Source organism: Homo sapiens, chromosome 9 (assembly GCF_000001405.40).
Source record: "Homo sapiens chromosome 9, GRCh38.p14 Primary Assembly".
Taxonomy (NCBI): Eukaryota; Metazoa; Chordata; class Mammalia; order Primates; family Hominidae; genus Homo; species Homo sapiens.
Window position 1 is genome coordinate 31,338,592 of NC_000009.12, and position 15,650 is coordinate 31,354,241.

At 32.7% G+C, this 15,650-nt stretch overlaps 2 annotated features.

The window, feature by feature from the left end:
* Positions 8,555-8,624: an enhancer, noted in NCBI's record as "active region_28257". NCBI's record gives its function as "activates an Ori minimal core promoter by ATAC-STARR-seq in GM12878 lymphoblastoid cells {active_cell/tissue: GM12878}" and the evidence as "EXISTENCE:reporter gene assay evidence [ECO:0000049][PMID:35858748]".
* Positions 8,655-8,714: an enhancer, noted in NCBI's record as "active region_28258". NCBI's record gives its function as "activates an Ori minimal core promoter by ATAC-STARR-seq in GM12878 lymphoblastoid cells {active_cell/tissue: GM12878}" and the evidence as "EXISTENCE:reporter gene assay evidence [ECO:0000049][PMID:35858748]".

Below are 15,650 nucleotides of genomic sequence, written 5' to 3' on the forward strand. Positions count from 1 at the left end.
CAGAGTATGCAATGAAGCAATATATATGAAAAGCAAAATATTACTGATCTTATTATAACTATTTTAATAGAAAAAGGGGTACCTCAAACCCATTCAAATATAAAGCACACACACCTACACACACACACACACAATATCTCTATAAGAATCTTGTTATTTAAACAATTAGCCCTATTCTATTATTTGAATTTTCCTTGAGCCTTTCCTCATGCTATTCAATGTTATTTAAAAACATCACTTGAATACATAATCTCTTTGTATAACTATTATTTATTTAACCACCTTTTTTATAAAGTGATGTTTTTTAATGTGATTAACAAAATTTTAACTAAATTTTAGTCCATATTCATTAAGGAGTCCTTCACATACATTTCTAAATAGAAATTACTACACAAAAGACATACAAATCTTCATGACTCTTGATATATATCACAAAATTGCCTTCACAAAGAATGCTTGGATTTATAACATAGGAGATGGGTGTGGAAACACTTATCAGTATTAATTTATTTCCATTTTTTTTGCTAATTTAGAAAAAATCTAATTAGTGTTTTAGTTCACCTTTCTTTGAGTCCTACTGAGGTTGGACATATTCTTCCTTGCTTTTAGCTACTTGTATTTTTTATTTTCTGTGAGGGTGTATTTGTGCCCTTTTATTTGTAGTGTCAAATTGATTTCAAATCTTTTTTGTTAAAGCTAGCAATTTTTAGTTACACGTATTATATGTTTTCTTTGTGGATTGCCTTTTACATTTTCTTTGTGATTAAACATGCTTTATCTTTTATCATAATAGCAATGCATTTACTTACCTTATATACTAGATATTAAACAATTGAAAGTTAAAAATGAAAGTATCTCATTTTCAAATCTACTAATTACATTTTTTAAAATCCATGTATAGGCTCTTTTTTTCTATACTTCTTTCACCTTTCTTCCGCCCTATTTTGCTCAACTCTTCCTCTGTCTTTCTCCTTCACATGTATCTCTTCATCTTTTCCCTTTAAAACGTATGTCTTTCCAACTTTTCCCTCTCTCTCTGTCTTCCTGAAAACATCTATATGCTTACAAGCATATTTTTATAACATGGGATCATAGGTGATTATATTAGTTAACTTTTCAGCAATTCATTTTTTTCTACTTAATCTTAATTATGGACATTGTTTTGTATCAATATCTATGGCATCCCCTCATTAATTTTAGAAGCGTCATAGTATCTCATGGAATAGATGTATCATACATTTTTAATATATTCTTATAATTATAAAAAGCTAGATTATTTCTAGTATTTAAGTTTTTATAATCAATGCTACTTTTGAAAATTAATCATACATCTTTATGTGTTTCAGTTAACATTTTGTGATTCTTACGCATATACAGAGAAACTTAAAGCTTTATATAGCAAATTTGATTTTACAAATTTTTCTCTTACAAACAATGTTTCATGGAAATCCTTACAGATAAACTGCTACATATTTGCTGAAGGATTTTCTAAATTTTGAGGTGAAAAAGTCTCAACAATTATAGTCAAATTTATTATTTGCTTGTATTTTTTTGTTAAACACTTTATAGCTTGATTTTTTAGAACATTTATATTAATTGAACTACAAAACTTAGATGAAAATAAGCCTTGAAAAAGAGGAAAAACTCAATGCCACTTTTTCTCAATGATATTTTGGAGAAATATAAAATTGACTCAAAATCACAATTTAAATCCAGTATCTAAAATGTGAAAAGTTTCCTAAATGTTTTTATTCTTTTATTTTTTAAAAGCAGGCTATTATTAAGTTTATTTTTATTATCAAAGTAAAACATATTCAAGAACATAAATTTAGAAAAATAAAAGAACACACAGAAGAAAATAAATTTTACCCATAACCATGACACCTAAATGTAATCCTGCTTGTATCCGGATATCTCTTCCCAGATGTCTTCTTTATACATACACTCATATACAGCCAGCCATGTGCCAAGTAATATTTCAGTCAATAATAAACTGTATATATGTGTCACCCCATAAGAGTATAATACCATATTTTATTGTATCTTTTTAATTTTTATATTTAGATATGTGTAGATACACAAATACTAATGTGTTCCAATTGCTTGCAACATTTAGTACAATAACGTCGTGTACAGGTTTGTAGACTAGGAGCAATAGGCTATACCATACAGCCTAGGTGAGTAGTAGGGTATGCCATCTAAGTTTATGTAAGCACATTCTATGATGTTCATACAATGACAAAATTGCCTAATAATGCATTTCGCAGAACACATCCTCATTGTTAAGGGATGCATGACTTTATATGCAAACAACCTACTCACACACACTATATATGCACATATACACCAAATTATACTGTGCTGTACTTATATTACATCTTGAGAGTCTTATTCTTATTAAAGTCCAGTTTTGTTCTTTAAAAATATTTTTACATTATTAAAATAGGAGAAAAGTTAAGATTGTATTTGGCTCACCAATTAAAACTGTTTAGGTATGTTTTCAAATATAGCATTTTTGAGACATCCCTGCTGCTATGTATATGTGTCAACTAACTGCATTCAATTCCCTGAAAATGATGCTCATTTCAATCCTCAAACCTAAATATGGGACTATAGTTGTGCAATGACCTATGTTAATTGGAGCCTTCAGCATACTGATAATGGAGCTATGTTCTATCAGAAAACTAGTACCATTATATTTTCAAATAATATTAAATCAAAAGTTATATTTAAAATTAAATGAGAATATACTGCACAGGTGCGAAAAGATATGTTAAGACAAACAAAAATAACCGAGAGAACTAATCATCAAGTTGTGATGATACATTTTATTTATATGAGCAAAAAAGCACTTGTGAATTTATATGTATAACAATTTTGTCTGTTTCTTCAAAGACTAAAGCTAGCAAAAATATAGGCAATATTAATATAATATCTTTTTCCAAACTTTAAAAATTCAAAATAATTTTGGAAAATAGTAAACTTCAAAGCCTCATTATAAAATAAATTATAAACAAAATGGTGATTGTAGTTAGGGTCAGTGTGATAAGACTGCAGGTAAAACTAGAAAAGTTGAAGGAGCAAGAACTTCAGTGTCAGTAAAGGAAGAGTGAGCTTGAACATAGCTACAAAGATCACAGTGCAGTTATAAAGTATTGTAAGATACAAAACATCAGACTAAATTCATTAACTCTCCAGTTCCTAGAAAAACAACATTTGAAGCATTCAAACAAAGGAATTGATGGTCAAATATTTGTTTGAATATTCAAAGGGATTAATGGTGAAATATTCAGGAAGATAACCATATAATTTTTTATAAATTTTTTAATTTATAAAATTATAAATTTTTATAATAGCCGAGATGTGCATCTGTCAATCCTGAGTGACATACTGTAATATTTTGTGATAGGTTGAAAGTAATCATATGCAAAATATTTATCTTTTATAATCTGAGAGGCAGAATCCAAATAATCTAGACACATTTGGGGCTACCAATTAATGGGAAAGATAAAATGCAAGTAGAGACTATGGAAGTAAACATTAGGGAATCAGGAGGTACTGACATTAATAAAACTAATTCAATTTTGTCTCTTGATTACCAGAGAAATTCAAGTACAAAACTATAGTATGAAGCCAATGGTGAAGATAAAAACAGCAACCAGGAGGGTAACAGGAAAACAATTCTGATAATTTGAACTCAAGGTGATATTAAAATCTGGGGTAACTATCTTTCACGTATGCTTACTTATCTACACAACTTTTAAGGAAAAAGAAAGACAAGGACATAGTGATTCTACACAGGTAGCTCCACAAAATCAGACAGAAATAAAACTTCTCTTTAGTTGAAAATATTCTAAAGCATTAGAACAATATGTAATATGAGACTACGGTATCACTCAAGGAAGACAAATATATCAAGCACTTACAATTTAAGTGAAGCTAAAATAAGTTGTCACAATATGAGGGCACTTGAAAATGTGGAAAAATATAATTCAAAGATTAAAATAAAAATATAAACTTTATTTCTCAACATAAGTTCCACAAAATTCAAAACACTTTTGTAAGCTATGATATAAGCCATTTACTTTGTCTCTAAAGAACTGAGATTCCTGGAAATTCGACCATGTCAATGCAATCTTTTTTACATTATTAACTGAAGAAAATAAGTGCCCTTTAATGATATTTTAAGATTAGGAAACAAAAAGAGGTCAGAAAGAGTCAAATCAGGACTGTAAAGTACCAATGTTTTCCCATTGAAACTGTTGCAAAATTGCCCTGTGTGATGAGAGGAATGAACAGAAACACTGTGGTAGTGAAGGACTCTCTGATGAGATTTTTCTGCATATTTTGCTCCTTAAGCTTTGGCTACTTTCTCAAAACACATTAATGATAAGCAGATGTAATCATTCTTTGGCCTTCCGGATGATTTCAGGGGATGTGTTGAGCATCCCCCAAAAAACTGTTGCACGACCTTTGCTTTTGTCTGGTCCACTTTTGTTTTGACTGGACCTCTTGCTAGCCCTTGCTTGACTGTACTTTGTCTTCAGGATCCTACTGGTAAAGCCATGTTTCACCTCCTGTTACAATTCTTTTAACAAATGCTTCAGAATCGTTATCTCACTTGTTTCAAATTACCATTGAAAGCTCTGCTTTTGTCTGAAGCTGATCTGGGTGCAACAGTTTTGGCACCCATGGAGTGGAAAGTGCTCAACTTGAACTTTTCAGTCAGAATTGTGTAAGCTGAACCAGTGAAGATGTCTATGGTGCTGGCTATTGTTTCTGCTGATAGTCAGAACTCTTCATTTAGGGCATAAAGAAGATGAATTTTTTTTTCCTCACAAATTGATGTGGATAGTTACCACTGCATGCTTTCTCTTCAACCTCATCTCCTGCCTTCTTAAAATGAGTTATCCATTTGTGAACTGCTATTTCTTTGGGGAACTGTCTACACAAACTTTCTGTAAAGCATCAGTGATTTCACCATTCATCTACCCAAGCTTCACAATAAATTTGATGTTTTTTCTTGCTTCAATTTTAGCAGGATTCATGTTGCTCTGATAAAAGGCTCTTTTCAAATTCGTATCTTATCCTTCTTAGTGTCTCAATCTAGATCCTGTTTAGGCATACTATAACAAGTTGTTTTGAGTTGATTTTGGTGCAAAATATTTGAAATCCATGCAAGTTTTTAAAATAATACTGATTTTCAATGAACATTTAATAAAACACCCTCATAGAAGTCATAACAATTTAAAAATTGAGAAACAAATTTTCTAGGAAGATGAAAGGCTATTTTAAACTGGTACATAGGTGAATTATAATATGGAGATACACCTGGAATAAAAGGTAATTTAAAGGAACATGAGAAAATTATTACGAGAATGCTAGTAAAGTTGACCACAGAGAAGGATAGAGGTAATATGCTGGGCTCATGTGTTTATGAAAACATGTGATAAATGACAAATTAGGGTATACAATTTTTTATAAATGTTATAAAAAGAATGCTAGAATTTTTATTAGGATTACATTAAATCTGGAGATTAATTTGAGAATAATTAACATTTTAACAATATTGATGCTTCTAATTAACTAGTTAGAAATCTCTAGTATTTAGATTCTGTTTAATATCTCACTGATATTTTGAATTTTTCAATGTAAAGGTTTACATAAACTAATAACTAAGCAATTATGTTTTAATGCTATTGTAAATAGTGTTGCTATATTTTTTATTTTAATTTTCTAATTTTTTTCCCACTATATGGAAACAGAATTCATCTTTGTATATTGACCTTTTATCTGGAGACTTTGCACAATTCACTTATTTTGTATAATAACTTATAGATTCCTTTGTGTCTTCTGTTTACATCAGCATCTCATCTCAAATAAAGCCAGATTTCAATATTGATTTTAAATGTTCATGCATTTTATGTGTTCACTCATTGACCTGAATAAAACCTGCAGTTAAAGTTGAAAAGGAGTTGGGAGTATTATTCTTCAACTAGAATAAAAATATTTCTCCTATTATGTTAAAAATTTAATATACATTTTTTACTTTATATTGATTTACTGATTTTTTTTTTTTTTTTTTGAGATGGAGTTTTGCTCTTGTCACCCAGGCTGGAGTGCAATGGCATGATCAGCCTCCCAAGTAGCTGGGATTACAGGAGTGCGCCACCATGCCTGACTAATTTTTGTATTATTGGTAGAGATGGGGTTTCACCATGTTGGCCAGGCTGGTCTCAAACTCCCGACCTCAGGTGATCCACCTGCCTCAGCCTCCCAAAGTGCTGGGATTACAGGCAGGAGCCACTACACCTGGGCTGATTTACTGATTTTTAAAGTCTAAAACAACCATTCATTCACAGAGAGTAAAACACTTAGTTATTATATATCAGCATTTTCATACATTACTACATGAAAACAGGCAATTCTTTAAATTTATTTCAAGTTCATGAGAGATATTGATTAGGGAGTTTATTCTCAAGTAATATTTTCCAGGTTTTATTATCAGGGTTCTATCTTGGATAGCAAGTAGAGAAACATTATCTATACCTCGAATATCTGAAAATTTTTTTCATAGGTTTGCTATTATATATTTTATAAATATTTAATAGAATTTAACAGAAAAGTTATCTATGTCTAAAGATTTTTTTTAATGAGAAAGTTTGAAATGACAGATCCGATTTCTTTAACTGACATGGAATTGTGCAGGTTTTCCATTTCTTCCTGTGTCAGTTTTTTAAAGTTATTTTTCTCAAAGAATTTGCCTATTTTATTTAAGTTATATTATAGACATAAAGTTTCTCATAATATTCTCTTCCTGTTTAAAATATTTTATAATTCATAATAATCCCCTGTTCTCAATCATCTTGTTAGAAATTTTTTTCTCTCTTTTTTTGTTCCTTCTTGCTTTAACCTATTTAGTGAAACAAAATTTGGCTTGTTTCAATGTCCTTTGTGTTAATCCATTTTCTATTTTACTGATTGCTGTTACTTTAGTTATTATATTCATCTTTCTACTTTATTTGCATGTAGTTTGCTCAACTTTTTCTGGAAATCTATGCTTATACTTAAGTGGTTCACTTGTAAACTGCCTATATTTAAGCCTCTTTTTATAAAATCTGACAGTTTTTCTAATGTAATTGGAGTGGTTAGACCATTTATATTTAATATAGTTACCGATGAGGTTGTTTTAAAATATACAAGCTATTGCTATTTCCTTCTGTTTTTTCTTTTTACATTTTTGTCTCTTTTGAGGAACTCAAGTAATTTTTTATTTTGTCAGCACTATTGCATTTCACTTTTCCTATTTTAATGTTTACTTAGCACTTTAAAATACATATGGCTAACTTGAGCTCAGTTTGAATTAATATTTTAATAATCTGTTAACAAGAATAACAATCTTTTGTTATTATTGATATATAAATAAATACCATATTTTATTCTACTTAAGCCATACATCCAAAATTACACAGATCTTTTAATGTTTTATTATAGACTTTTATCTTTATCTATATTAATCTATCATTCTCATACTTTCCTGCAGATTTGTGCTTCTTCCTGAAAACATTTTTCCTTTACCTGAAGAGTAAATTTTGTTTTTTCTATTGTGGGTATGCTGGAGACAAATTTTTTTCAGCTTTCATTTTTCCAGTTATCTATTTATTTTACTTTCATTTATGAAGGATATTTCACTAGATTAAAAACTATTGACTAGATTTTCTTTTCCTTTTTGCTCTTTAAAAATGACATTTTATTGCCTTCTGGTCATCTGGGTTTCATTATCAGTGATGACAATATTTAAGTTTTTAAAAGCATTTTTATGAAGCCTTTATGATATGCTTTGGGTTGGTGCATATGTGTATTTGTGTTGTATTAATCCTGTTTGGGGTTTAATGAGCTTACTGAAATTCATATTAAAGGTTTTACAAATTTAGGAGATTCTTTCATATTGTATCTTCAAAATTTTCTGTGTCTTAATTATCTTTCTGTGTTATTCTCAGTCTCCTAACATGGAAAAATATTTGACATTACCTCAGAAGACTGATACTCTGTTTTAATTTTTTCTTTTATTTATAAATTAATCTATGCTCACTCTATACTTTGTATAGTTTTATTAATGTATCTTAAATTCTCTAAGCCATTTTTTCTTCTGTGACAAGTCTGCTGTTACCCTATCCAAGCAACACTATTTAAGATTTTAAAAAATTCTTAGTTGAAGAAAATACATTTGGTTCTTTTATAAAATTATAAAATTTCTGTGAAAATAATAATCTCCTATTCTCAGCCATCTGTTAAAATGACCAATACTTTCATTGATTTTGTCCACTTTTCTCTCTGATTTTTCTCTTATTTGTAATCATTTTTATAAAGTGTTTTTTCTAACACTTAGGTTGTTTGTTGTTCTGTTCCCATTTTCTTATTTAACTGTTGAATATGAATATTAATTTTACGGTTTTCTGCCCCTTATGTAAATGTTTTTTGTATACCAAATATTGTGTTCAAAAAAAATTGTAATTTGACCAAATACTATTATATTTTTCTCTTTTGATATACATTTACACGCAGGGGACAATACTTTAATCCTTTCAGGGCTGAGCTGAGTTGTTTGGCCTGTTTGTTTTTGCTGCTGAGTGAGTTTCAGTTTCCTTTTAGCTTCCTGTTCTTAAGAATAACATGTGGTTCCGTACATCTAGCAGGATGTTGTGATATAAGTACAGCAGGACTTCAAAGACTTATTTCTGTTTTTCAATCCATCCTCCAGCCTTCAATTCTATTATGCTTTCAGAAAATGTCCTGTAAAAAAGAACTGGCAGGCAGGAAAAACTTAGCTGTATATTTGGGATCCCACATACTCGAATCTATCACATCAGTTCAAATGGTTGCTATCCATTCCGCTGGTTTCTCCTTATCCCATAACAGTCCCTTTAAGTTTGGCAGGCTTGATCCTCTACCCACCCGTGGCCGAGGTTTAACATATGCCTGAGAGAAGGAAGAGATCACTGGTTTCTGTTTTTCTAGAAACTTCTGGTATTTCTCTGGAACATAATCATTAAGAGTCTTTTGAATCACCAGCACTTTTTGCCTTTAAAAACATAGGACTTTTAATTTATCTAGGAAACAATTTCCAAAAAATGGAAACAATTTTTTCTTACGAATTCTACATTCTAGCTAGAGCAGAATATCTGGAGACAAAGAGCTTTAGTTCAGTATAATAGTGATGACTGTTAATGTTTATTGAATACTGCTGGATGTAAAGTTTGACACTAATCACTTTAAATACGGTATCTCACTTAATACTAGAATGTATTTAGTTATCTCATTTTAAATCAAGGAAAAAAGAATCGTAGATGTTAGTATTTTTCTAAATATCAAATGTTGAAAAAGTGTGCCACAATGAGCTTTGAATTCGGATGTAATTTCCTCAAGAGATGACATATTATGTTGGCTTTGCTTGATGTAGACAACATATAGCATAGTGACTTCAATTTGGAACCTACTAAAAAACCTTATGGGGAGAAGATAGTACTACAAAGGCTTGGAGAGGGACAGCTGTTGGTTAGTATTCATGTAAACACACATACACTGCCTCCTGGCACACCTGAGATGGGAGAGCCAACTGTCTTAAAGTTTCAGTGATGCTGAAAGCATTCTCAATGTTCTGATGAGAATAATATCCACTGAATCAGAAATCAAAGAAATCAACCTCACATGCTATAAGCTTTTATCCCCTACAGCTAGACAGGTCAGAGACAGACCAGTGATGGTCAAAAGATGCTGAAAATTAACAATTGATTCTAAGCATTCTACAGATGATTACTAATTTGTGAGTGTTAAAGAAGTATACTGATTTACCTTTTAGAGGTCAGTATTGAAAGTGTGGAAAAAACCTTCCACAGGATCTAAAGATTACAGCAACAATTGAGAGGCACTTTGAAATTTGTCAAAATGGGAGAGGATATAAGCATTTAGTTTGGTAAAATAGATTCAATCCAAACAACTGTGCTATCATTATCAGCATGAAACAATGTAATAATCTGAATAAGAAGGCTCTGTTTTAAAAAACAGTTGCTAAAGTGTTATGATAACCTCAGAAATATCCCAAGAGGAATGAAACTCTAAACAGAAAACAGGAATTCAAATATTTTTCTCTGAATCGATATTTTATAGTGGGAGAATGATACTTCTCCAAATTGACATTCAGATTTTCAAACTAAAATGTTAATCTTTATCTTTCTGTCATTCATTATCTCTTCTCTGAGCCAAACTCATAAAGACAAAGGTAACATATGTTAGAAATGGAAATGATCATTTGGGCAATGCGTACAATATCCTGCAGCTCCAGTAAAATTATTTCAGTTTTAGTTGTTTTTCTCACATTGGTGTAAATCCTCCCAGGGTGGGGAGAATGGAAAGCATATTACTTCAAATCTTCAAGAAGATCTTCTTTAAACTAAGACAATTTGCACACACATTGTTTCATAAGTGGGAGCTGAACATTTTTACACATGGACACGAACATGGGAACAATAAACACTGGGGGCTACTGGGGTTGGGGGAAGAAAGGGGAGGGTTGAGGGTTGAAAAACTACCTATTGCATATATACTCACTACCTGAGTGATGGAATCATTCATATCCCAAGCCTCAGTGTCACACAACATACTCATGTAACAAACCTGCACACGCAACCCCTGAACCTAAAATAAAAGTTAAAATAAATTGGACTATAAACTTCTCATTTTAATTATAAACCAATTCCAATTTATTTATTTCCCAATTTGCTGTTAGTATTTACTTAGTAACTGTGATGAACCAAAATATAAACATTTTACACTAAAAATTATACAGCAAATATGAGTTGACTTAACCACTATGTCCTTAAGTTCCCCTTTATCCAGTCTTCTATTCCACTATCTGTTTCAATAATGTCAAGATCCTCCAGCTGTGTTTCTTCATTCCTGCCAATATGAGACGTGTAACTTATGTTTAAGTAACAATTTCAATGAATGAACTATTTCTTACAATAGCAAGGAATGTACTACTCCTGGCTTTCAAATTATGATGTAAAGCAATTCTAGTCATTGATCCGCAGGGACAAGGATAGAGATGGTGCCTTATCTTATGAACCCTGTTTGTGAGCTCCCTAACTTAGGGGAGGTTCTTACAGACTCTCTGGGCCAGGGGAGGCTGATGTCACCCTGACAAAAAGGAGGAAACTGCACTTTCTATCCTGTAAAGTCAGAGAGAATCCAGTGTTTAGAGATTTTTCAGGTTTTTCTGCCAAAATGGCTATACTCGAGGTCATAAAATCCCATTCTTTCTCTACCAGGGTGCTGAAATTGGCCAAGAACACCTGTGGAGACCACGCCTTCAGTCTCCTCTGAAGCTGTGCCCTGCAGTTACAGAAGAAAAGGTGCTCTTTGTACACTGCCATAGAGCGCCTTGAGTTAATAGTTGATTAACATAAACTTATTTTTCCTTTTCAAGGCTTCAAAGACTGCTAACCAAATCCAGCTAACTCCACAGTCCTTAAAAATACCATTGCCTGCTTTAAAATATATTAGGAGAATAGGCTGGGCACAGTGGCTCACGCCTGTAATCCCAGCATTTTAGGAGGCAGAGGCGAGCGGATCACTGGAGGTCAGAAATTCAAGACCAGCCTGGCCAACATGGTGAAACCCCGTCTCTACTAAAAATACAAAAATTAGCTGGGTGTTGTGGTGGGTGCCTATAATCCTGGCCACTCAGGAGGCTGAGGCAGGAGAATTGCTTGAACCCAGGAGGGCTGCAGTGAGTGGAGATCATGCCACTGTACTCCAGCCTAGGCAACAGAGCAAGATTGCATCTCAAAAACATAAAATAGATAAAATATATTAGGAGGATAGATTGAATGAAAAGTGATCTTACCTCAGGCGAGGAATAGGAGGCATAAAAGAGGAAAGGATAGTTTTAGTGATGATAGATATGTTTAGTATATTGATTGTGGTGGTTGTATAATGAGTGTATAAATAAATCCATATTCATTAAATGTAGACATTAAATATGCACAGTTTTGTATATAAACTATGCCTCAATAAAGCTACAAAAATACCATTGCTCAATATTTCAGTGCCACCACTATTACAGAAGCCAGAGTTTCAGATTTCATCTATGCAGGATTCCAATCCACCACAAATGATTCTTAATAATATTACAACTTTATAGAGACTTTTTAGGTCAGGGGTTGTCACCTTCCCACTTTCCAGATACAGAGTTGTTATCAATGTGACCAGTGAAAGGTTCAGATCCTGAATCCCATCCTGATGATTTGCTTTCTATGGCCTTTACCCACATTCTCTTAACCTGGACTTTCCTAAAAAGGTGAGATTTAGACAAGTACTTGCAGGCAGATTGTTTATCTTGGGAACTGACCCCTAAGAATAAAAATCAATGGACACTAAAAGAGTGAGTTAAAGGGAGGAAAGCAAAATCAATCTGTGTTATTGAATGTATTATGATTGCAGGAAATTCGGGCATGATTCCACTCAAGACACTGTTAAGGGCACGGGAAAATTAACCTGAAGTCTTAATCTGAGACAAAAAGAGGAGAATATTTTACCCACCAACATTCATATACCACTAATTAAGTCTTACCTTAAAAAATATCAGGTTTGTGCATGTATCAAAATCACTTGGTAGATTCCCACAATTATTACAAAAGCAGAAACAGAATATTTCCAGTGCAAAGAGAGATGAAAGTCCCACTGGAATGAGATGCTGTCGGGTTACACCTGCATATGGCTGATTCCTGCATCAATGGCTGGAGCTTAAAAATAATGGGAAGGTGACTCGAGTCTTGAGGCAGTTTACTGAAGGTATATATTTTATACTCCATAAATCCAATATGAGAGTCAGGGGCTGAATTAAGTGGTTTAAACCACACTAACTATCCATCTTCATTTTTGGATTAATAATAGTTAGCTTGTTATTTCTGCTTCTTAAGCTCAATTAAAACAAACAAACAAAAACAAAAAATATTTTCTGTTCAGTTACTTCTTGCCAGTTACTTCTTTTTCCAGGTACTATGTCAGGTGCCAGAAGTCTGAGATATATTACTGCAAGCCTCTTCTGTGGAGGATATTACAACTGAACTAGAAGAAAGGCATGTACTCAAATTGAAATCATAATGCAGAAAGAGTACAGAGTTTGACACCGTTTAAGCTTAAAGAGTGTCAAAATCTGTATTTAGATTGTTTCGTAGTGATTAAAAATTATATGAGCATTTTTAAAATGAAAAATACTATTTTATAACGAACAAAAATAGTTGTAAAATATTTTAACAGAGCAGAAGAAAGAAAACCTGTTTTCTTATACCGAGTGTCAAGTATTGCTCTGGATGGTTGTCATACATTATAATATTTCATTCTTACATGAGAATATCAAAATATCAAAATAAGTATAATAGTATGCACGCTGTCTTCTAAGTGAGGAAACAGATCAATATCATTTGGTCAGGTTGTTAGAAGCCACACAATTATTATGTGGTACCTTATTATTTTTTTTTACAGTGTATCATGTTTCCAACATACTAAACAATCTACTACTTTTCTATTTTTTGACTTTCTACTGTCAACTACTGGAAAGTACATTTATATACTATTAGGCTATTACTTTTGCTACTCCTACTATTACTATTTGCTTCTATTGCTCTCCTACCACTTCCATTTATCTTGTTATTGCTACCATTACTACCACTATGAAAACTAGCACCATCACAAAACAAGCAACTGCAGTTTTTCACTGAGCACTTAATGCATTTGTCATATCTAAATGTTTACATCTACCTCCTGTAATCCATATGACACTGTTGTTCAAAATATGTATTAATAAACATAAGTGAGACAGGTCAGGCTTAAATCCTGGTTGTGTTGCATATTTATTTATTTTTGCCTTTGTAAGCTATTACCTTATAATAATCCACCAAATTATGTAAAGAAAATCTGCTCATAAAATACATACAATTTCATCATTTAGAGATATATGTGTTAATATCCTTATGTATTTATTCATTTTCTTCCTGGTATGTGTGCTAAGAAAATTGTATCTTGCTGTAAATATGTAAAGGTAATTCTTGTATTTGTGCCCCTTCCTTCCTTCCTTCCTTCCCTCCTTCTTTCCTTCTTTCTTCTTGACAGAGTTTCACGCTTATCACCCAGGCTGGAATGCAGTGGTGCGATCTCGGCTCACTGCAACCTGCCTCTCCTGAGTCCAGGCGATTCTCCTGCCTCAGCCTCCCGAGTAGCTGGGACTATAGATGTGTGCCACCACACCCGGCTAATTTTTTGTATTTTTAGTGGAGACAGGTTTTCATCATGTTGGCCAGAGTGGTCTTAAACTCCTGACTTCAGGTAATCCGCCTACCTCAACTTCCCAAAGTGTTGGAATTACAGGCGTGACCACGGTGCCTGGCCAGCATATTTATTTATATATTTGCCTACAGTATCATAGTTTCCTACATTGTAAAATTGATTAAAAATAACATACCTTATATTTATTTAATATGTCTTCAAATATTACAAAGTTCAAATATGTTTCAGTTAGTTTAACTTTCTTTGACAATTTGTTTATATTTTTGTTTGTTATTAATGTAATATTATTTTCTAATTTTCACATTTTATTCTTGATATTGTAAAAATGCTTTCATTGTTATGATATTGACCCTTATTTTTCTAATACCCTGGAGACATTTATTTTCATTTGTCTTCTTTTTCATTTTATTTGGATGTTTGCTGTTTTCTTTGTTCATGTCAGTTTTATTGTTTTTATGATTTCTTACATAACTTTTATGGTTATAAATCCCTTGCATTTTTTTTTTTTTTTTTTTTTTTTTTGAGACGGAGTCTCGCTCTGTCGCCCAGGCCAGACTGCGGACTGCAGTGGCGCAATCTCGGCTCACTGCAAGCTCCGCTTCCCGGGTTCACGCCATTCTCCTGCCTCAGCCTCCCGAGTAGCTGGGACTACAGGCGCCCGCCACCGCGCCCGGCTAATTTTTTGTATTTTTAGTAGAGACGGGGTTTCACCTTGTTAGCCAGGATGGTCTCGATCTCCTGACCTCATGATCCACCCGCCTCGGCCTCCCAAAGTGCTGGGATTACAGGCGTGAGCCACCGCGCCCGGCCAAATCCCTTGCATTTTTATTTTTAATTAATATTTATTTATATGTTGCTCTAGTTGTTAGAAGATTTTATTAGTAAAACACGGTATTTGGAATCCTTGAGTTTATTATTTGGTGCATATTGTGAGAACAGAAAATAATATTTTATTATTGTTTTTCTAAATCACCACTTGGCCTAAAAATATTCTTCTTTTTCAGATGAGTTCATGTTCTTTGCAGGGACATGGATGGAGTTGGAAACCATCATTCTCAGCAAACTATCACAAGGTCAGAAAACCAAACACCGCATGTTGTCACTCATAAGTGGGAGTTGAACAATGAGAACACATGGACACAGGGAGGGGAACATCACATGCCGGGGCCTGTCAGGGGATGTGGGGGTAGTGGAAGGATAACATTAGGAGAAATACCTACTGTAGGTGACTGGTTGATTGGTGCAGCAAACCACCATGGCACGTGTATACTTACATAACAAAGCTACATGTTCTGCACATGTAA